This window comes from Homo sapiens, chromosome 7, assembly GCF_000001405.40.
Source record: "Homo sapiens chromosome 7, GRCh38.p14 Primary Assembly".
NCBI lineage: Eukaryota > Metazoa > Chordata > Mammalia > Primates > Hominidae > Homo > Homo sapiens.
In genome coordinates, this window is record NC_000007.14 from 64,018,888 (window position 1) to 64,041,529 (window position 22,642).

Sequence of the window (22,642 nt, forward strand, 5' to 3'; positions counted from 1 at the left end):
TTAAAATTTGTTTTATATATTTTTTGTACGTGTGGCCTCTCTGCTGACAAACAAAAACAGGCTTTTAGTTTTTATTTACATAGAGTTACATATACAAATGTATTACTCTAAAGATGTACCAGCCGGGTGCAGTGGCTTATGCCTGTAATCTCAGCACTTTGGGAGGCCAAAGTGGTCAGATAATTTGAGGTCAGGAGTTCAAGACCAGCCTGGCCAACATGGTGAAACCCCATCTCTACTAAAAATACAAAAAATTAGCTGGGTGTGGTGATGCGTTCCTGTATTCCCAGCTACTAGGGAGGCTGAGGCAGGAGAATTGCTTGAACCTGGGAAGCAGAGGTTGCAGTGAGCCAAGATGGCACCACTGCACTCCACCCTGGGTGACAGAGCGAGACACCATTTAAAAAAAAAAAAAAGATGTACCTTAAGTATAAAAAAGTTATATAGCAAGTGAGTGTGTTTGTGTGTGACTTTGTTTGCATTTTCAGAACAGAGGAACAATATTGAAACAAAAAAGTTTATTTTAATAAGGTGGGTAATTAACAAGAAACCTGGAAACCTTAGAGATTCTCAAAATAAATCTATATTCTGTGGCTTATATTGAATTCGTTACTGTAAAATCTTATCCCACCCAAATCTTATCTCAAATTGTAATCCCCATGTGTCAAGGGAGGGACTTGGTGGGAGGTGATTGGAACATGGGGGTAATTTTCCCCCATGCTGTTCTCATGATAGTGAGTTCTGAAAGATCTAATGGTTTTATAAGTGGTGGTTTTTCCTGCTTTCCCTCCTGCTGCCTAGTGAAGAAGGTGCTTGCTTCTCCTTTGCCTTCCACCATAATTGTAGGTTTCCTGAGACCTCCCCAGCCATGCAGAATTGTGAGTAAATTAAACCTCCTTTCTGAATAAATTACCCATTCTCTGGTAGTGTCTTTATAGTAGTGTGAAAACAGACTAATACAGAAAATTAATACTGGGAGTTTGGGGCACTGCTATAAAGATAATTGAAAATGTGGAAGTGACTTTGGAAATGGGTAATAGGCAGAGGTTGAAACAGTTTAGAGAGCTCAGAAAAACACAGAAAGATGTGGGAACGTTTGGAACTTCCTGGAGACTTGTTGAATGCTTTTGACCAAAATGCTAATAGTGATATGGATGATAAAGTCCAGGCTGAGGTGGTCTCAGATAGAGATGAGAAACTTATGTTTAAAATGGAAGCAGAACATAAAAGTTTGGGAAATTTGAAGCCTGACCATGAAGTAGAAAATAAAACCCAATTTTTTGAAAAGAAATTGAAGCCACTGCAGAAATTTGCAGCAGTAAAGAGGAACTGAATGTTAATACACAAAACAATGGGGAAAATGTCTTCAGATCATGTCAAAGATCTGAGGCAGGTCCTTCCATCACAGGCCAGGAGCCCTAGGAGGCAACAATGGTTTCATGGTTGAGGCCCAGGGCCCCACTGCTCTATGAAGTCTTGGGACTAGGTGTCCTGCATCCCAGCTGCTCCAGATCCAGCTGTGGCTAAAAGGGGCCAAGGTACAGCTTGGGTTATTTCTTCAGAAAGTGCAATCCTCAAGCCTTGGGTGGCTTCCATGTGGTGTTGGGCATGTGAGTGAACATAAGACAAGAGTTGAGCTCTGGGAACCTCTGCCTAGATTTCAGAAGATGTATAAAAATGCCTGGATGTTCAGGCAGAAGTCTTCTACAGGGGCAGAGCCCTCATGGAGAACCTGTAATAGGGCAATGCAGAAGGGAAATGTGGGATTGGAGCCCTCATGCAGAGTCCCCACTGAAGCTGCCAACTGGAGTTGTGAGAAGGCCACTATACTCTAGACCCCAGAATGACAGATCCTCCATGAGCTTGTACTGTGCACCTGGAAAAGCCACAGGCACGCAATTCCAGTCCATAAAGGAGTTGCCTAAGGCCATGAGGGCCCACCCCTTGCATCAGCATGGCCCAGAAGTGGGACATGAAGTCAAATGACATCATCCCAGAGCTTTAAGATTTAATTACTGCCCCATTGGAATTCAAGCTTGCATGGGGCCTGTACCTCCTTGGTTCTGGCCAATTTCCTCCATTTGAAAGAGTTTATCTAATTCCTGTACCCCCATTGTATCTTGGAAGTTACTAACTTGCTTTTGATTTACAAGCTCATAGGTAGCAGGGACTTTTCTCAGATTGGACTTTGGAGTTAGACTTTTGGGTTAATGCTAAAATGAGATAAGACTGTGGGAGATTGTTGGGAAAGCATGTTTGGTTTTGAAATATGAAAAGGGCATGAGATTTGGAAGGGGCCAGGGGCGGAATGATACTCATGGTGTTCTTGTGATACTGAGTGAGTTCTCATGAGATTGGATGGTTTTATAAGTGGTCATTTTTCCTGCTTTCCTTCACCTAGTGAAAAATATACCTGCTTCTCCTTCAACTTCTGCCATTATTGTAAGGTTCTTGAGGCCTCCCCAGTCATGCTTATCTGTGAGTCAAATTAACCTCTTTCCTTTTTAATTTACCTAGTCTTGGGTGTGTCTTTATAGCAGTGTGAGAATGGACTAATAGACACAGTAACTTAATAACAAAGGTATTATTGTCCTCAATTTACAAAGAAAGAAAAAGAGCCAGAGAAATAATTTGCTCACAATAGCAGAGCCAGTATTAAAACACAAGCAACTTTGACTCCAGAGATAATGCTCTTGAATACAACAATAAAAACCCTTTCAAACAGAAAAGAAGTTACCTTTAACATCCATTCTTAAAAATTTAACAAAAATGAAAATGGATACATTTGTATTGTTATATATGTATATATGTGAATGTATATTATAAATAAGAAATACTTCATATAAGCCAGAAAAAGATAAATACTTAATGAATAAAATTGAAAAGCAGATGAATTAATTATTATTTGCAGATGATATATGTGTTTACTTAGACAACAAAGGCAACTGAAAGGCTATTTTAGAAATCTATTCAGGTGGAGAGGCAGAATTCTCAGATGACCCTCAGGTTCCCACTTCAGTGCACACCTGCTGTGTATCATTTTCTCCTGAGTGTGAGAAAATGTGTGTGACTGTGGTGGGACATTATTCATGTAATTAGGTTACAAAGGTATTGGCTTTCTGTTTATCATAAGAGAGATTATCTTTATTACACCAAACTTAATCAGACATGTTTTTAAGAAAAAGAGCACATCATAGAAAAACACCCCTGCTTCCCTGAAATTAATCAAACTTCTAGGTAAGCCAGGTTGTAAGCTGCTTATGGTGGCCACATGGCAAGGGATATATTTGTATATTGTCTCTATTTTTGCCTTCAACATGTTACTTTCAGAAGGAAGAATAGGAGGATCTCATGGCAGAGGAAAAAGAAGAGATCTTATTAATACAAGAAATAATCACTCCTCATCTGGGACAGCTTAAGAAAAACAGAGACCAGAACATGACCACATCAATGGGAAACAAAGGCAACTTGGTTGAAAGGGCTCACTGGCATTAGGAAGCAATGTTTACACAGCCGAAGTAAATGATCAGCCTCTGGGATACCAATAGTCTACCAACAGTCTACCAATAAGGCTGAATTCATTCTCATTCTGATTAAATTAGCATTTCTGCTCCATTCTGTTAACTCAGTTTTACATTCATGACAAAAATACCAGGCAGACCATTGAGTGTCCTCCTAGAATTGAACTTATCCTGAAAAAGCATACCCAATTATTTAATTTCAACATTGGAAAATGTTGAAAAAAAATGAATTTATTAATAATAATAATCTGACTTTCTAATTTTAGAGAATTCTACTATTCTGTAATACAATATTGAACTTTGAACACCTTAACATGAATATTTCTTGAATGCATAAATTGTTATGTAGGTAGTTTCTCTTTTAGATTAATGCAATAAGACTAAAAATTAGAGAAAACATTTGAAATGAAATAAAAGTCATCAGAACCACATCTTTCAATGGCTTGGCACAATTACCATGCTCTTTGAAATGGTCAAGAAGCAAAGGCAAGGTTTTGTCTTTGCCCAATTATTAAGTCCTTGACCTTTTGAAATCTAATATCCTGGCTAAAAAAAGTAGGAGGGACTATTTTTAAGGTGGCTGCCTAGAGTGTGCAATTCAATATGAGAAGAATTTTGATAATTAGGCAAGAAAATGCATACCACATACACACATTACTCTTCTCTGATTTGCTTTAACATTGAAAGATTGGAAATTGCAAATCTAGTCTCTCAATTTAGGGTAAATTAACAAAAGATTCATGTTTCAGCTGAGCAAGTTATTGTATAAAAGTTATAGGTAACAGATGTCATTGGCTGCAAAAAACAAAATAGTATGACTACATTCAGTAACTGTCTAGCCATGCCAATGATAGACCAATTAGATTAAGATCCTAAGAGGTGCTTGCAGAAAGCATTTACGTGCAATATTGTGACCCTCCCCCAAACACCTTTTTCTGTCTCCTTACAGAGATACCAATTTTTCCTGAATATCTCAGGGTGAATACTGGGAACTGAGATGCTCAGTGTTCGGAGTTGATTACTGGAAACATAGGTAACACATTTCTTCTATATTATAAAGAAATTTTATGAATCTTACTCTGCCTCAGAAAGGCTTTTAGTAAAAGATTGCTCATGTATAACACTCTGTTTGGATTCATAGACATTTTCAATATTCCATTTAAGTCAGAGACACTGAAATGTCAACCAAATTTCATAAAACATATTTGAATGAGATGATGTTAGCTAAGAATTTTATTTCATCAGTAAATTTAGAGGTACATAAGAAATGTGTGTACTTTGGGCCAAATCACAGTGTTTGCCACATGGGAACAATTCAGACAAGTGCTCTTCATCATTACTCTTAAAGTAGCACTAGCAAAACACCCATTTCCTGGCATTAGCTGGCTTGTTTTTCACTGATGTGAAGTGCAGAAGGCATTGAAACAGTGAAGAAGGATGATATACATGGAATAATTATATGAAGTACAATTGTGAATAAAAAGTAGCATTTGATATTGTACAACTATAGATAAGATGACTAGTATGAGATAAAAATATTTTTAATTCTATTGACAGAATAACTTCATTCACAATATTACTATTTCAAATAATTTTTTTGCTTTTTATCCAATATTACCTGAGCTCCATAGGAATCAACAAAATGCATCTTTATTTTACCACAAGAATTTTATTCATGCATATGCTTAATTTGCTGAAAATATGTGAGCCTCCCATGAAAGATTTATACTTTTATTGTGTCATCTTCTGCTGAGAAGTGGCTGTCCTGCCAGAAAACTGCTATTCTCAATTGTCCTCACACTGACTCTGCTCAACATAGTGACTGGAAGTGATGTGTGCATAAAAAGCAAATGTGTCTTCTTTGCATCTTTTTTCATCTATTGGCTGAAGAAAGAGAGAGTGCAGATAGGAAATTTTAAAAAAATCTAATCTCCGAATAATCACAAAGAAGTTCTCTTAACCAGAAATAAGCCAAAGGGGATGGTGATGTAAGCAGAAAATGTATTATTTTGCTAAGCCTTTGAAATTTTAGGGTTTATTAGTATGACAACCTGCATTGCTTTAACAAACCTATTAGTCTTTCAGTTTTAATTCTTCTGAATATGATTCAATGTCCTGATGAATCTGAACTGACAGGAGAATAACTTATTTGTTAAAATTAAAAATGTGAGGAAAAATGTCAATTCTCATAGATAGGCCTAGGGCCATGGGTAAGGTCCTGGGTCTTCTACTTGTATGAAGATCACAGAGGATTATGACACCCATGCGTATTGAATAAATCCCATGGGTGGTACAAAGAGTGTCATAACAGGGCCGAGAACACAGATGAGATTGAGTCTTGTATGAACACACAGCCAAAAGTAGAAATTGTTACATGTCCATGTGTACACAGCTCACAATTGAGGTCCTGAATCTCACACCCAGGGGCAGTTGAGAGCTGGAATTGAGACTCTCATATACAGATCCAGTCCACAGGTGAAGTGGGAACTCTCCAACCAGGATTCAGCACACCATTGATGTTGTGACTCCTCTACTGGAACACAGCTTAGAGAAGGGATTGGGGCTCTCATGGCAGGATGCAATCCACTGTTGAGATTGTGACTCATGTACTTGGGCCTAAGTCTCAGGAGTTGTTGACTCTTACACTTGGAGTGGGAAAATGTGTGGAATTGGGAGTCTCATTCCTGGGCCTTCCTGCAGGTGTCTGTGACATGCACTTCTACGTAGAAACTTCGTAATTTGATAGTCCTTCTGGGCTCAACACACAGATATCTTGTGACTTATACCTGGGCCAAGCACCTAGGTGATGTGACTATTTTGCCTGGCCACTTCCCTCAAAGGAATTGTAATTGTAATATATCTCTTTACTGAGCACCTAGGTGACATAAATCTCTCCTTCCTGGATCCTGCCCACAAGTAAGGTTATGACATATCTAGCATTAAGTCTAGCACTTAATGATGTGACTGTCCTATCTTGTTTGTGCCCTGCCCTGAGGAAGCACTGTGACATTACTGGCCTAAGTAAAAAGGTAATTCAGGTCTTCTGCCTGGGACATGTGCAGAGGGGGGGATTGTGAAATCTCTTGGCTTATCATCATGATGATGTGATTCTCCTCTCTTGTCTGGAAACTTTTTCCAGTTGGGATCACAACATATTGCTGGGCCCAGAACTGGGTGATGTTATTCTTCTCCCAGGGCCCAGCCTACAAATGGCATTGTGGCATCTCTCTGGGCCCACTGGCTAGGTGATGTGACTCTGCTTTTCTGCCTGGACACTTTCCACAAAAGGAATTGTGACATATAGCTGGACCCAGCTCCCTGGTGATGTAACTGTCCTGTATTGGCCCTGTGCAAAGGGTGCATTGTGATATTTCACTTGGCCAAGCAGCTAGGTGATATGACTCTCCTGAATGGGCCCTGCTCTCAGAGAGGATTTTCACCCATCGCTGGGCCAATCATATAGGTGATGTGTCTCTCCTCTGTTGCCTGGACCCTGCCCAAAGTAAGAATTGTAATGTATCACTTACCCAGCACCCAAGTGATATGACTCTCATGTCTGGTTCCTGCCCACAGGTGAAATTGTGACATATACATGGTCACAGCTCACTGGTGAGATGTTGACTCTCATACCTGGATCCAGCTAAGAGAACAGATTTTGACTCTGATATCTAGGCTTAGGGCAACAGGCAAGGTCCTGGGTCTGGATAAAGCCTTCAAGTGATACAATGTCATAACAGGACCAAGAACAAAGGTGACATTGTGACTCTCATATGCACTTCCAGCTGATAGAATTGTCACCCTCACACATAGACAGTGCTTACTGGTGAGGTCCTAAGTCTCATACACAAATGCAATCCAGACTTGGAATTGTGACTGTCATATGTAGATGCAGCCACAGGTGAGATAGTGACTTATTTTGAACTCAGCTCAGGCACAGCAATGAAACTCATACCTGGACCCAATCAATAGCAGAAATTCACAATCCTGGACATTTTCCAGCAAAAGGTGTAAGAGTCAACACCTCTTGTGGGTTGAGTCTCCTATTTTGAGGTATAAGAGTCAACATATTTTTTTGTGGCTAGGTCCAGGTATGAGTGATCACAATGCTCACAATGAACTGAGTCCAAACATAGGTAACAATCACACCTGTGAGCACTAACTAGGTAGGAGGGTCATATCACCTGGGAGCTGGGCCAGGAATATGTACCCATTGTTCTAAGCCTAGCTACAAAAGTCAAAATCTCTCTATTGTCTTGGTCTAGCTATGAGAGTTATTACCTTACCTGTGTTTTGGGCCCAGATATACATCACAATTTGAAGTCTGGGCAGGAACCAGGAAGAAAAATCATATCATCTAGGTGTCCCCTGTGGGAGAGGTCCAGGTAGGAGAGTAACATCTTCTTGGTGCTGAGCCAAGTGAAATGTTCCAATGCCCTCTGTGGGCAGGGCCCAGGCAGAAGAGTAGAGTCACATCACCTAGATGCTGAGTTCACCAACATGTAAAAATATCCCCTTAGGGCAAGGCTCATGCAGGAGTGTCACGTCATCCAGGTGTTTGGTCCAGGCATATGTCATAATCCCTCCTGAAGGCAGCACCTGGGCACAAAAGGAGAATTACACCACCTAAGGGATGGGCCCAGAGATGTCACAGTGCCTCTGTGGGCAGGGCCCAGGCAGGAGAGTCACATCACATGAATATAGGGCCCAGAGATATTTACAATCCCCACTGGGGCAGGGCCCAGGGAAAACGACATGAGCCACATCACCAGGTGCTGGGCCCGGTGATATATTACAATCCCCTCTGAGGACAGCACCAAGGCAAGAGTTACATCACCTAGGTGCCTGTGCCAGGTATATGTCACAATTCTATTTGTGGGATTAGCCCAGGCTAAAGAGGCAAATCGCTCAGGTGCTAGGAAAAGGTATATGTCAAAATCACACCTGTGGGTGTGAACCAGAAAACATGTTACATCACTTGGTGCTGAAGCAGGGATATGAAAAAAGCAGGGATATTTCTGTTGGCAGGGCCTAGGCAGAAGAATAATATTTCTTGGATGCTGGGCCCACTGATATGTCACAATTACTTTTGCGGGCTGGGCCCAGGTAAAAAAAGAGGGTCATGTGGCCTAAGGACTGGGCCCAGGGATATGTCACAATTTTCCTCGTGGGGAGGGCCCAGTCAGGAGAGTCACAGCACTTGGGTGCTGAACTTAGAAATATGTCACACCAGGCACGGGGGCTCACACCTGTAATCCCAGCACTTTGGGAGGCTGAGGATGGCAGATCATTGAGGTCAGGAGTTCAAGACCAGCCTGGACAACATGGTGAAATCCCGTCTCTACTAAAAATACAAAAAAATTAGCTAGGCGTGGTGGTGCATACCTGTAGTCCCAACTACTTGGGAGGCTGAGGCAGGAGAACCACTTGAATCTGGGAGATGGAGGTTGCAGTGAGCTGAGATTGCATCATTGCATTCCAGCCTGGGCAACAGAGCAAGACTCCATCTGGGAAAATAAAAAGGAAATATGTCACAATGTCCTTTGTTGACAAATCCCAGACAAGAGAGTCACATCACCTAATAGTTGGGGCCAGTGATATGTTACAATTATCCATGTGGGCAGGGCCCAGGAAGAAAAATGATAGTCACATCACCCATTGATATGTCACAAGTCTTGCTGTGGGCAGGCCCCATGTAGAAGAAGAGAATCACACCTCTTAGGTGCTGGGTGCAGTGTAATGTCACTATCTTTCTGAAGGCAGGGCCCAGGCACATGAGTCATACCTATTAGGTTCTTGGCCCAGGTATATGGCACAATTTTGTTTGTGAACTGGACCCAGTCTGCAGAGTCAAATCACTCACATGTTGGACAAAGGTATATGTGACAATAACACTGTGGAAAGGTCCAGTGATAAGTTTCACCATCCTGCACATATCTTGACTCCCAGTAAAAGATTCATCATTGTGCTTATAATTTGGACACAGATATATGGCACAATACAACCTGTGGAGAGGGAGAGACCAGAAAAGACACATCACTTGGGTGCTGGTCCAGAGATATGTCACAATCCCCCTTGTAGGCAGTACCCTGGCAGAAGAGTCACATCACCTGGCTGTTGGGCCCAGTGATATATCAAAATCCCCCCTGTAGGCAGAGCTTAGGCAGGAAAGGAGACTCGCTTCACTTAAGTTATTAGCCTAGACAGGTGTCACAGTGGCCCCCATGGGCACAGCCAAGGCAGGAGAGTGACATCACCTTGGCCCTGGGCTCAGCAATGGGTCACAATCTCTCCAGTGGGCAGGAACCAGGCAAGAGAGGAGAATCACATCACCTAGATGCTAGGCTAAGTGATAGGTTCCAACGCTTCCTGTAGGAAGAACTCAGTCAGGAGAGTCACATTATGTGGGTGCAGTACCCAGCTAAATGTCACAATGCACTCTAAGCACAGAGCCAAAGCAGTAGAATGAAGTCACATCACCTACATAATGAACCCAGAAATAAGTCACAATGCTCTTTGTAGGCAGGTACCAGGCAGGAGAGTCACAGCACCTGGGTGGTTGCTGGTCACACTGAAATGTAAAAATGCCCTTGGCAGGCAGGGCCCAGGAAGGAGTTTCACATTATTTAGGTGGGTGGTCCAGGTATATGTCACAATTTTATCTGTGGGCTGGGCCTGGGAAAGAGTCAGATCACTCAGGTTCTGGGCAAAGGTATATTTCCCAATCACACACTTGGGAATGTACAGAAATGAGTTTCACAGTTTCACACGAGTCCTGGCTTCATGTATGAGAGGCAACCCCTCCTGTGAGTGGGGTTCAAGTAAAGGAGTTACAGTCTCAACAATGCACAAAATCCATGCACAACAGCCCCAATCTCACCTGCAGATTGTGTTCTGATAGGGAACTCACAGCCTCACAGGTCTGCTGAATCATGGTTTGAGAGTCACCAAACCACCTGGAAACCAGATCCACATATGAGAGTAACAAATCCAACTTGCAACTGTTTTTATGTGTGAGATTAAGTGCCTCATTCGTAGGCTCTGTTTATGTGTAAGAATGAAGAGCCTGTCGGCTGGGTCTGCATACGAGAGTCACAATCTCAGCTGTTAGCTAGGCCCTGTTAGAAACTCTCTGTATCGCTCTAGGGCTTCCTGTGATCATCCTGAGTGTTGTAATGTTCTGTGAACTTTATACATGTAAGAGATCCAGGACATTACCTGTGGCCTAAGCCTGGCTACAGAAATCAAAATATCTCCCACTGGCTGTGTCCAGGTAAGAGAGTCATTCTTGTGCCTCTGAGCTGGACCCAGGTATATGCCACAATTTTACATTTGGACAGGAACAAGGCATTAAAGTCACATCACCTGGGTGCTAGACCCAGTGATATGTCACAATGCCCACTGTACTCAGGGCACAGGCAGGAGAGTCACATCATCTGAGTTCTTGGTTGAGCAATATGTCACAATCCCTTCTGTATGTAGAACCCAGGCTGCAAGAAGAGTCACATTACCTAGGTGCTGAGCCTGGCAATATGTCACAATGCTCCCTGCTAGCGGGGCCCAGGAAAGAGCACAGAGTCATACCACATACCTGACTGGCCCAGAAATTTGTCATAATCTTCACTGGGACAGAACACAGGAAGAAAAGGAGAGTCACATTACCTAGGTTATAGGCCCAGTGATATGTCACAGTCCCTACTGAGACCAGGGTCCAGAAATGAGAGAAAAGCCATACCACTTCTGTGATGTGCCCAGAGATAGGTCACAATGACCCCTTTGGGCTTGCCCACACAGGCGATGAGAGTCACATCACTTAGGTAATAAACCCAGAGACATATCACAATTTCCCCTGAAGGCAGGGAAAATTTCCCAGAGTCATGTCACAATTTCCCCTGAAGACAGGAGAGTCACACCACCTAGGTTCTTGGCCCAGCAATATGTCACAATCCCTTCTAAGTGCACAAGCAGCGAAGAAGAGTCACATAACTTAGGTATTGGGCCCAGCAATATGTCACAATTCCCAATGGAGGCCAAGATGAGGCAAGAAAGTAGAGTCACATCACATAGGTGAAAAGTCCAAAGATATGTTACAATGCACCCTGTGGTAAGGCCCAGGCTGGAGAGTTACATCACCTAGGTACTTGATCCAGGTATATGTCACAGTCCCAACTGTTGGCTGGGCCCAAGCAAATTAGTAAAATAAATTAGGTGCTGTGTGAAAGTATACGCCACAATCACACCTGCGGGAAGGACCAGGAATAAATTTCACAGTTCTACATATTTCCCAGCTTTAGGTCTGACAGTCAACACCTCTTGTGAGTTGCATCCAAATACACGAGACACAGTCTTAACATTGGACAGGATCCGTCCATGAGAGCTCTATCTCCACTGCAAACAGTGTTCCCATAAGATAGGCACAGCCTCACCAGGGTGCTGAATCTTGGTCTCAGAGTCACTATCCTACCTGTTGACCAGATGCATGTACGTGAGTCAAACTTTCAACTTTTCATTGCCTCTGGGCGTGAGATTCAGAACCTCAACAGTGAGCTGTGTCTATATGGGAGAGTGACCATCCTTATTGTTGGCTGGGTATGCATAGGAGATTCACAATTTCCTCTGTGTTTCTGGCTGTGTTATGACACTCTCTGTACCATCTGAGATTTTCACATAATATGCTTGAGAGTGGAATTCTGCTCTGTGAACTTTGTTTGTATGGCTCTAAGATCTTACCTGTTACCCTAAGCCCAGGCAGAAGTCAACACATTTTCTCTTGCCTGGGTCCAGGTATGAGAGTCATCACCATGTTTGTGAGCTGGGTCCAGAAATGAGTCACAATCTTACCTGTGGTCAGATCTGCATATGACAGTCACAATTTCAACTGTGAACCCTGTCCACAAGGCAAAGTCAGGACCTCACTAATGGGATCTGTCCATGTGTGTGGGTGACAATTCTTACTGTCAGCTGGCTGTGCATATGAGAATAAGTCTCAACTTTGTATTGGGCTGTGTTGACACTCTCTGTACCACCATAGGGCATTATGCTGTATGCATGAGTGTTGTGATTTTTTGTGACATTTGTGTGTGTAGAAAAACCCAGAATCATCCCCATTTCCTAATCCTAACAATGAGAGTCAACATCTCTTCTACTAGCTTGGTCCAAGTATAAGAGACAACACTGTGCCTGTGAGTTAGTCAAGAAATGACTTCCCCTTCGACCTGTGGCCAAATCCACATATGACAGTAACAATTCCAACTGTGGTCTGCATCCATATGTGAGGTTTATAACCTCACCAGTGGGTTGTGTCTAGGTTTAAGAATGATAATACCATTGTTGGCTGGATGTGCCTATGAGAGTCACAAACTCACCTGCTTGTTGGACTGTGTTATGACACAGCTCATACCACCCAAAGGCTTTATAAAATATTTGTGTCATAATCTCCTGTGACATTTTATAAGAAAACCCAGAACTTCACCCACCTCGGCTGGGTGTGGTAGCTCAGAGCTGAGGAAGATGGATCGCCTGAGGTCAGGAGTTCAAGACCAGCCTGGATAATATGGTGAAACCCTGTCTCTACTAAAAATACAGAAAATTAGCCAGGCATGGTGGCGAGTGCCTGTAGTCCCAGCTACTCTGGAGGCTGAGGCAGAAGAATCACTCGAACCTGGGAGGCAGTGGTCGCAGTGAGCTGCAGTCGTGCCACTGCACTCCAGCCTGGGCAACACGAGCAAGACTCTGTCTTGAAAAAAAAAAAAGTGTTTTTACCATTTAGTAGGAGGAAAAAAGTTTTATTTTCATCAATATTTGCATTGTATTTTAATGCACAGCAGGAACTTGTAAAAGAAAACCCAGAAAAATAACTAGGATAAGGCTGGGCACAGTGGCTCATGCCTGTAAACCCAGCATTTTGGGGGACTGAGATGGGTGAATCACCTGAGGTCAGGAGTTCAAGACCAGCCTGGCCAACATAATGAAATCCTGTCTCTACTAAAAATACAAAAAATTGGCTGGGCATCATGGCAGGTGCCTGTAATCCCAGCTGAGCCAGGAGAATCTCTTGAACCTGGGAGGCAGAGGTTGCAGTGAGCCAAGATCTCGGCATTGCATTCCAGCCTTGGCGACAAGAGCAAGACTCCATCCACCTCAAAAAAAAAAAAAAGGATATAAAAATCACACCTGTAAAAAGTAAGTGGATTAACTTTACATAATATACTTTTCAGGTGAGGACTGGCCAGCTTCTGCCAGTTCTTGAGCACACTCAAAAAAACTAACAATTATCAAGGGTAAGTATCAGGGGAACCAGCCCCCCAATATTTTAGTGTAGGTTCTTCTCTATTTTCCCTAAGTGTCAGCTGGTCTGAGAAATAAAGAGAAAGAGTATAAAAGAGAGAAATTTTACAGCTGGGCCTCCAGGGGTGATATCACATGTCAGCAGGTTCCGTGATGCCCCCTGAACCACAAAACCAGCAAGTTTTTATTAGGGATTTCAAAAGGGGAGGGGGGTATGAACAGGGAGTAAATCACAAAGATCACATTCTTCAAGGGGCAATAAAAGATTACAAGGGCAGAAGGGCAGAGTGAGATCACAAGGCCAGGGTGAAATTAGAATTACTGATGAGGTTCCATGTCCCACTGGGCATGCATTGTCTTGATAAACATCTTAACAGGAAGCAGAGTTCGAGACCAGACAACCAGTCTGACTAGAATTTGCCAGGCTAGAATTTCCTAATCCTAGCAAGCCTGAGGGCACTGCAGGAGACCCGGGCATATTTCATCCCTTATCTTCAACCGCATAAGACAGACACTCCCAGAGCGGCCATTTTAGAGACCTCCCCCTGGGAATGCATTCCTTTCCCAGGGCTATTCCTTGCTGGGAAAAGAATTCAGCAATATTTCTCCTATTCACTTTCTGCAAGAAGAGAAATATGACTCTGTTCTGCCTGGCCCCGCAGGCAGTCAGACCTTATGGTTATCTCCCTTGTTCCTTGAAAATTGCTGTTATCCTGTTATATTTCAAGGTGCCCAGATTTCATATTGTTCAAACACACATGTTTTACAAACAATCTGTACAGATAATGCAATCATTACAGCGTCCTGAGGCGACATACATCCTCAGCTTACGAAGATGACAGGATTAAGAGATTAAAGACGGGCATAGGAAATTATAAGTGTATTGATTGGGGAAGTGATAAATGTCCATGAAATCTTCACAATTTACGTTCAGAGATTGCAGTAATGACAGGCATAAGAAATTATAAAAGTATTAATTAGGGGAACTAATAAATATCCATGAAATCTTCACAATTTATGTTCTTCTGCCACGGCTTCAGCAGGTCCCTCCATTCGGGGTCCCTGACTTCCCACAACAGGTAAGAAATAGAAAAGGGAAGGCCCCCCTCCAGCTAGTTTTCTCCCTCACCATGAGGCTATTTTTTTGCCAGTTTTGTATCAACAAGTAGAAAATGGAGTCAGAATGAGATTTGTACTTTTGGGGACTCTGGCAGTGAGAAACAAAGTAGAATATTAGATAGGCTTAGATATCCTAGAGGAAGATTTCTAGGTTACAATTTGAAATGCACCAAAAACTTGTGTGGTGTTAATGAAACGACTCAACCACTCTGGGTGTCAGTTTCCTCACCTGTATAATGGGGATCTATGCCTACTTCATCAAGTTGTTGCCAGAGTTAAATTCACTATCTTTTTTTTTCTTCTTTCAGACAGAGTCTCGCTCTGTCGCCCAGGCTGGAGTGAAGTGGCACAGGCATGGGCCATCATGCCCAGCCTAAATTCACTAATATTTAAAAGTGGCTGTTACTGCAAGGGTCCACATCATTAATAAAATAGTATCAGATGCCAGGCGCAGTGGCTCCTGCCTTTAATCCTAGCACTTTGGGAGGCCAAAATGGGTGGATCACCTGAGGTCACGAGTTTGAGACCAGCCTGGCCAAAATGGGGGAAACCCCATCTCTACCAAAAATACAAAAATTATCCGGGCATGGTGGTGGCAGGCACCTGTAGTCCTAGCTACTCTGGGAGGCTGAGGCAGGAGAATCACTTGAACCTGGGAGGCAGAGGTTGCAGTGAGCCGAGATCCTGCCACTGCACTCCAGCCTGGGCAACAGAGCAAGACTCTATCTCAGAAAAAAAAAGTTATCAGACTTCAAAATACACAACAGAAATAATAATGAGACCAAAGACAAGATTCCCTGCTTCCTAAACAGTCCAGCAATACCCAGATGAGATGACTGACAAGTAAGTTGAATTCTTCACAGCTCCACTGGAGAGAATGAGCATAGGGGCTCCAGCAAGATAAGCACATGGCCAGTGTCCAGTGACTAGTCTGGTGAGGGTAGAATCCCTAAAGACCCTGTGAAATACAGTTACACAACAGCCTAACAGGAAAGAAGTGGAACAAACCAGGCAAGCCAGCAGATACTACCAGGAGTGGGTGAGCAGAGGAGAGTCAGAGCCACAAAATCTAACCAGAAGACACCAAATTGCAAGGAGCTTCTGCTCTATGCATAGCAGCTGTGGCTGCAACAGGACCAATCTTCTCAGATAGCTGCCGTTAGACAGCACACACCAAATATCAGTGCTTCTAAACACAGGTCCAAAGACTCTCCTCTCCATTAATCCTCATTTTAAAATGATGGATAGGCTCACATTACAACATTCCCTTTTGACACTTGTGGGCAAGAGTAATCAGACACCATTACCTAAAGAGGGAACAGGGACTAGGGCGAGAATACTGAGGGACTGGGGAGGGATGCATGCACTTTACCACACAGACCGTCCCTAGAGGCCCTACTGTTAAAAAGAGCAGAGACTGCCAGAGGCGGTGGCTCACGCCTGTAATCCCAGCACTTTGGGAGGCTGAGGCGGGTGGATCATCTGAGGTCAGGAGTTTGAGATCAGCCTGGCCAACATGGTGAAACCCTGTCTCAACTAAATATATAAAAATTAGCCAGGTGTGTTGGTGGGCACCTATAATCCCAGCTACTCAGGAGGCTAAGGCAGGAGAATCACGTGAACCCAGGAGACAGAGGTTGCAGAAAGCCGAGACTGCACCACTGCATTCCAGCCTGGATGACAAAGCAAGACTCCATCTCAAAAAACAAACAAACAAAAAGGGCAAAGCCCTAGTATTCTGCTGTTGTCTCCCTATACTTCCTCATCTTGCCACCTGCATAGATGACACATGGTTTCTCTTCCTTTCTTTACAAAGGCACGATGAACCCAGGTGTAATTAATCCTGAAGTAGTAAATTCTTTATAAGCTTCACAAGTACAGTAATAGAGTTCAATGGTCACAATCATGTTTTCCCTTTTTTGACAGTGTACCACATTCAAAAATCACAAATGAGAAACTATTGGAAGTGTGACATGAATGAACTATTACTTTCATGTAGATTAACAGCCAGATTTTTACAGATTAGATATAAAAACAAGAAAGCTGGTACCAACTTTGTGAAAGTAACTTTCTTCCTTCCTTTTTTTTTTTTTTCCTTCTGTTGCCCAGGCTGGAGTGCAGTGGTGCAATCTCTGCTCACTGCAACCTCTGCCTCCAGGTTCAAGCAACTCTCCTGCCTCAGCCTCCTACGTAGCTGAGATTATGGGCACATGCCACCATGCCCAGCTCATTTTTGTATTTATAGTAGAGACAGGATTTCACCATGTTGGCCAAGCTGGTCTCGAACTCCTGGCCTCAGGTGATCCACCCACCTTGGCCTCCCGAAGTGCTGGGATTACAGGCCTGAGCCACTGCCCTGGCTGAAAGTATCTGTTTCTGAGGACATAGGATTTTAGGGACATCAATTATTAAGAGGCTACATGGAAGCAGAAGTGCTCCTGGATGTTTCCACTATCTAGACAAAAAATTTCAACACATCAGTCCCAGCAAGTTTAGTTACATCCCTGACTGCTGTAGGTGATGAGCATTCCATCCAAAGCAGAGATGTTAAACTTCATAGGTTTCAAATGACTTCCAAGTGATCCACACCTTGAAAGTTTCTCCCACAAAGCTGGAGCGCCATCTGTTCTGGAGAGAGCTGGTCACCATCCACGTCTTTGAGACACTGGCCAGTCAGGTCTAAGGTGAGATGAGGCCCATGGTTACACGTGTAAAATATCAAAACAATCATCATGTTTAGGTTGATTTTTTGGAGGCCTAGATCCGTAAATGGGTAGGTGAAAATGGCCCACCAGACACATGCCTGGAAATATTGGGGCTTTCTCCTCTGCTTTTAGCAGATCCCAGTGTGCCAATAATTACTGTCCCTCATGTCTCAACTTTCACTTCCACGAAAAAGGGGTCAGTGAGGTCGACATTTTCACCAAACCACAGCCCATGTTACCCACTGCAAAGCTCAAGTTGTTTACGGGCGGCCCAGGCAGCAAATTTCTCCCAAATGCTGCTGAACTGGAGCTCTGCCTGGAGTAAGCAGAGGCCAGTGGCACAATGTACAATGTCTCAGACAGACATCAGGCCAGTTTCCGTAGTACTTTAGGAAAGCAGGCGGCTCCCTGGGCTGGAGGCGGCGCGATGTCATGGAAAGACCAGCGGGTAAGGATAAAGAGAGGAAACCGAGCTGCTCAGTCGGAGGTGGGACCTGCCAGATTTAGGCAAAAGCGAGGTGTACTTAGAAGAGTCACACCTTTCTCACTGTCCAGCCCAGATTTATCCCTCATATCCCTCTCCAAACTCACTCCCCATGGAGAGAAAGGCAGCAGGTGGTGAGCGGGCACCACTGCTTTGCCAGGTCCACACCACCCTGCCCCTCCCACTGAGCCCGGTGCCTGCTGGAATTGTAGTCCTGCAGCCAGGCGACCAAAGAGCCGGGAGTCGTTAAGAGACTACAACGCCCCGCATGCCCGGCGAGGTGCGCAGCGCCCTGCCTCTCTCTCTCTAATGGCTGTGCCCCAACCCCGAGCCCGGAGCATGCTGGGATTGTAGTCCTGTAGTCCTGCAAACAAGGGGCTGGGAGCGGTTAAGAGACTACCACTCCCAGGCCAGGCGCGGTGGCTCACGCTTGTAACCCCAGCACTTTGGGAAGCCGAGGCGGGCGGATCATGAGGTTAGGAGATCGAGACCATCGTGGCTAACACGGTGAAACCCCGTCTCTACTAAAAATACAAAAAAGTTAGCCTGGCGTGGTGGCGGGCGCCAGTAGTCCCAGCTACTCGGGAGGCTGAGGCAGGAGAATGACGTGAACTCGGGAGGCGGAGCTTGCAGTAAGCCGAGATCGCGCCACTGCACTCCAGCCTGGGCGACAGAGCTAGACTCCGTCTCAAAAAAAAAAAAAAAAAAAAGAGACTACCACTCCCAGCATGATGCGCGTCCCCAGGGCTTCGCCCGCCCCCAGCCCTGCGAAATAATACTGTCGCTTTGTCACTAAGGGGCTAGGAGCGATTAAGAGAGTACAGCTCCCAGGATGTACGGCGATGGCACCCGTTTCAACTCCGCCCCTCTGAGCGTCTAGAGCGGTTCCCCCATGCGGAGGAGGTCCTGGCTGTTCCGAAATCTCGCCTGCCTGCGGGGAGCAAGCATGGCCTGGGCAGCAGATCTCAACCTGTGATTGTGACATCATCGCCCCTACCTGAAATGCCGGCTTCTTGGGCGGAAGTTTGATTTTTCACAAATCTGCAAGGGGCAAGGAGCCTCTCACAGCCTGCTCATTGTTACGTAGTTAGGTTTACCCTCCCGCAGCTCAGCTCAGCGCACATCTTTTCTTTCCTTATCCCGTCCTTTCCCTCATCCCTGCCTACCCCGCTTCTGACATGCATAGTGCAGCTTCTCCGTAAAGGTGGAGCTAATGACCCGTGGGCCTAGCAGTTGTTAGGCCTTTTGGGAGCTCACGATGGGAGCTCCCTGGTAAGTGAAACCGTCAATTCACTGCCTAAAATGACAATACCCCATCTCTGGTATCTTTGCACTTGCCTCTTCAAAGCCACCTTTTCCTTTTTCTGTGTATGGACTGTCACAAATCCTCTGCACCCCAAGAACACCCCATTGGATTTCCGGGCTGGCTGCTTGGGCTACACACCTGGGTCAGGCCTCTCGCAGGGATGCTCCTGCCACTGTAATAAAGAGGAGAAAACGTCACAGGGGAAAGGCCTGACTCCTTCGTACAGTCAGGAAACTCAGCCTCACAGAGAAGGGACCCCTCTCTTATTTTCGGAGTCCAAAATAAGCCATTTTGGGAGCCACATCCACCACTTTTGTGACTCCCACACAGGTTGGTTCCCAGGAATCAGGTGTCTTAGTGTTAATACGGGCCAATAGGACAAAACAGGACCCTTGGTCCTTCACAAAACATTAGGAATATTTGTGTACTGAGGTAATGTACAATGTCTTTTTGCCCTGAATAGGGCTCCCTTAGAAACTCTTTTAATAATCATTTTTAAATATCACTCTGGAACCACTTTTAGTAATTTGCTGAAGGAACATCACAGTAATATCTTAATTCTTAAATATCTTAATTCATCCCATGTTTTTCTTTTAGTTTTTCAAATTAACTCTAAGTAATTCATACTGTACATTTCCGAAATTGAAGTACACACAGCTTTAATTCTCTGCAGGGAGGATGCAGCAGGAGAGAATATCCTGGGCACATCTTTCTGGAGAATCATTTTTACTATAAGATTTGTAAGAAACAAATTTATTTCCAAAGTAAGAAATTAAAACTCTAAAACAAGGCTAGAAAGTCATCTGCCTTTAATAACCCTTAGTCATCTATGCCTGATATGTGAGACTTTCTCCAAGATAAAAACTCTCAAGAATAACCTATTTTCCATCATTATAAATAGTAAAAATTAGAAATCATAGAAAGTCAATTGAAAGCCCTGTCCTGCCAGTTTCTTAAATCACAATATGGCCTATGGCCTTGGTATGGTTTTACTTGGATTTTTTTTCTGGGATTTGTTGACTTTGCTTGGATATAAAAATTGGGGGTTTTGGCCTGTAATCCCAGCACTTTGGGAGGCCGAGGCAGGCGAATCACGAGGTCAGGAGATCGAGACCATCCTGGCTAACATGGTGAAACCTCATCTCTACTAAAAATACAAAAAATTAGTCGTGTGTGGTGAGGGGCACCTGTAGTCCCAGCTACTCAGGAGACTAGGCAGGAGAATGGTGTCAACCCGGAAGGCAGAGCTTGCAGTGAGCTGAGATCGCACCACTGCACTTCAGCCTGGGCAACAGAGTGAGACTCCATCTCAAAAAAAAACAAAAAAAAAAAACAACAAAAAAAACAAAACTTGGGGGTTTTGACCAATAGTTTTCAGCTATTAGTTGTTACTTTTGTACCGCATTTATTGGTAAGACTGTCCATTTTCTTCAAACTTTTTTTACTCTTTTTTTTCAGATTCAGTAATTTCTATTGTTCTGTCTTTTTCTAATCTATGAATCAACCTAAAAGTACTATTTTAAAATTTCATTATCTTTCTATTTGGTTCTTTTTAATAATGTGCATTTCTTGCTGAGATTCCACATGTATTCATTCATTATGAGAACGTTTTTTCTTCACCCCATGACTATAGTTTTAATGGCTGCTCTCAAATACTTGACTGCTGATAACAACATCTTGGACGTTTTGGGGATAGCTTCTAATGCCTGTGTTTCGTCTTGTGCATGAATTACATTTTGTGTTTCTTCTCATGTCTCTTAAATTTTAAAATTGTATTTTGAAAACTATAAATAATACTTACAAAGACTCTGGATTCTGTTGTATTCCTTTGAAGATTGTTGTTATTTTTTGAAGAGGGAGTTAATTTGGCTGGATTCAAATTCAGATACCCTTCTCCCTTTCAGTGGGCACAGCTAAAATTCTCATTCAGTTCTTATCTGTACATATATCCTATGTATGATATATAGATGTGTGTTTCTATATAACAATATATGACATTGTATCCAGATTTTACCATTGTTATTTGTAAGAGTATTGTTCAACAAGCTACTCCACCATTACTGAAAGCCAAAACTTCAATTTTATATTCTTTTTGGATTTTACATAAATGGCATTATATAGTATGTATATTTTTACATCTACTTTCTTTTGTACATCACATTTGTAATATTCATCAGTGTTGCTGCAGATATTTAAACACTGAGATTACAGGCATAAGCCAACATGTTCAGCCTATAATATTTTAGGAGGCTAAGGTAGGAGGATCACTTGTGGCTGGGAATTTTAGACCAGTCTGGACAATATAGTGAGACCCTCTCTCTACAAAAAAATTAAAAATTAGCCAGGCATGGTGGCATGTGTCTGTCATTCCAGCTACTCAGATGGCTGATGCAGAAAAATCAATTAAGCCCATGAGTTCAAGGCTGCAGGAAGTGATGATTACAATCCTGCACTCCAGTCTGGGTAACAGAGCAAGACTGTCTCCTAAAAAATATATATATAAAAATTTAAAAGAATTTTATACATGATGTTAAATTACACATAAAACTAACTATTTTAACTATTTTAAAGGTTTCAGTTGACATGAATTAAGGACACTCATTAATTTGCTACCATAATTTCCATGTATAAAAAGCATTTTCCATTTTTTGAAACTGAAACTGTACCCATTAAACAACAGCTCCTTGTTATTCTCCCTCTAGCCCCTGGGAAACACTCTCCTACTTCGTGTTTCTATGGATTTACTCTTAAGTACCACACATGAGAGGAATCATATAGTAAAGAAATCATGAGGAAGAATGATAAAAACGTATCACATGCTTATTAATTTTGAATAAAAACACCAACAGAGATCAGTAGTACATGGTGATTATAAATAAACAGATAAATGAGAAAAAGGAATTGGCAGTGTGCATTGTATTTATGACAATGGGGCCTCAAGTACCATAGTAGTGAGTCCTCTGCCCCAGTCACAGGGCTGTTCAGTGGTGGAGCTGGAAGCCCAGTGTAGCTGTCTGACACCCGGATCCCATGCCTAGCCCAAATGTCACTGAGCTCTAAGGTACTTTCCTCCTGCTGGTCCAGGCACTCAGTGTTCCCTAAGATTTATCATGGCATGTTCTCCATGGCCAGGAGGGTGGTGTTGCTGGACTACTGGGATAAGAGATCCAGCTGGCAGGCAGGTTGTAGCTACAGTACAGAGGCAGATGTGAGGCTAGTAGAA

The 22,642-nt window shown here is 43.3% G+C and overlaps 2 long non-coding RNA genes across 3 annotated transcripts; both read right to left on the minus strand.

Annotated features, from left to right (window-relative positions):
* Window positions 1-5,528: 5,528 nt before the first annotated feature.
* LINC01005 (long intergenic non-protein coding RNA 1005) lies at window positions 5,529-11,215 on the minus strand. Its single transcript, NR_039987.1, has 4 exons — window positions 11,110-11,215; window positions 10,399-10,474; window positions 8,904-9,025; window positions 5,529-8,117 (listed from the first exon to the last, which is right to left on the minus strand). It is a non-coding gene; the product is annotated as a long intergenic non-protein coding RNA 1005 (long non-coding RNA).
* A 1,964-nt stretch (window positions 11,216-13,179) lies between these two features.
* Window positions 13,180-20,724, minus strand: LOC105375317 (uncharacterized). 2 transcript variants are annotated; one of them, XR_927572.3, is made up of 3 exons: window positions 18,963-20,724; window positions 17,514-17,603; window positions 13,180-13,254 (listed from the first exon to the last, which is right to left on the minus strand). It is a non-coding gene; the product is annotated as an uncharacterized LOC105375317 (long non-coding RNA). The 2 variants fall into 2 exon arrangements; XR_002956506.2 differs by lacking the exon at window positions 13,180-13,254 and having other exon boundaries at window positions 16,759-17,603.
* Between the last annotated feature and the right edge of the window lie 1,918 nt (window positions 20,725-22,642).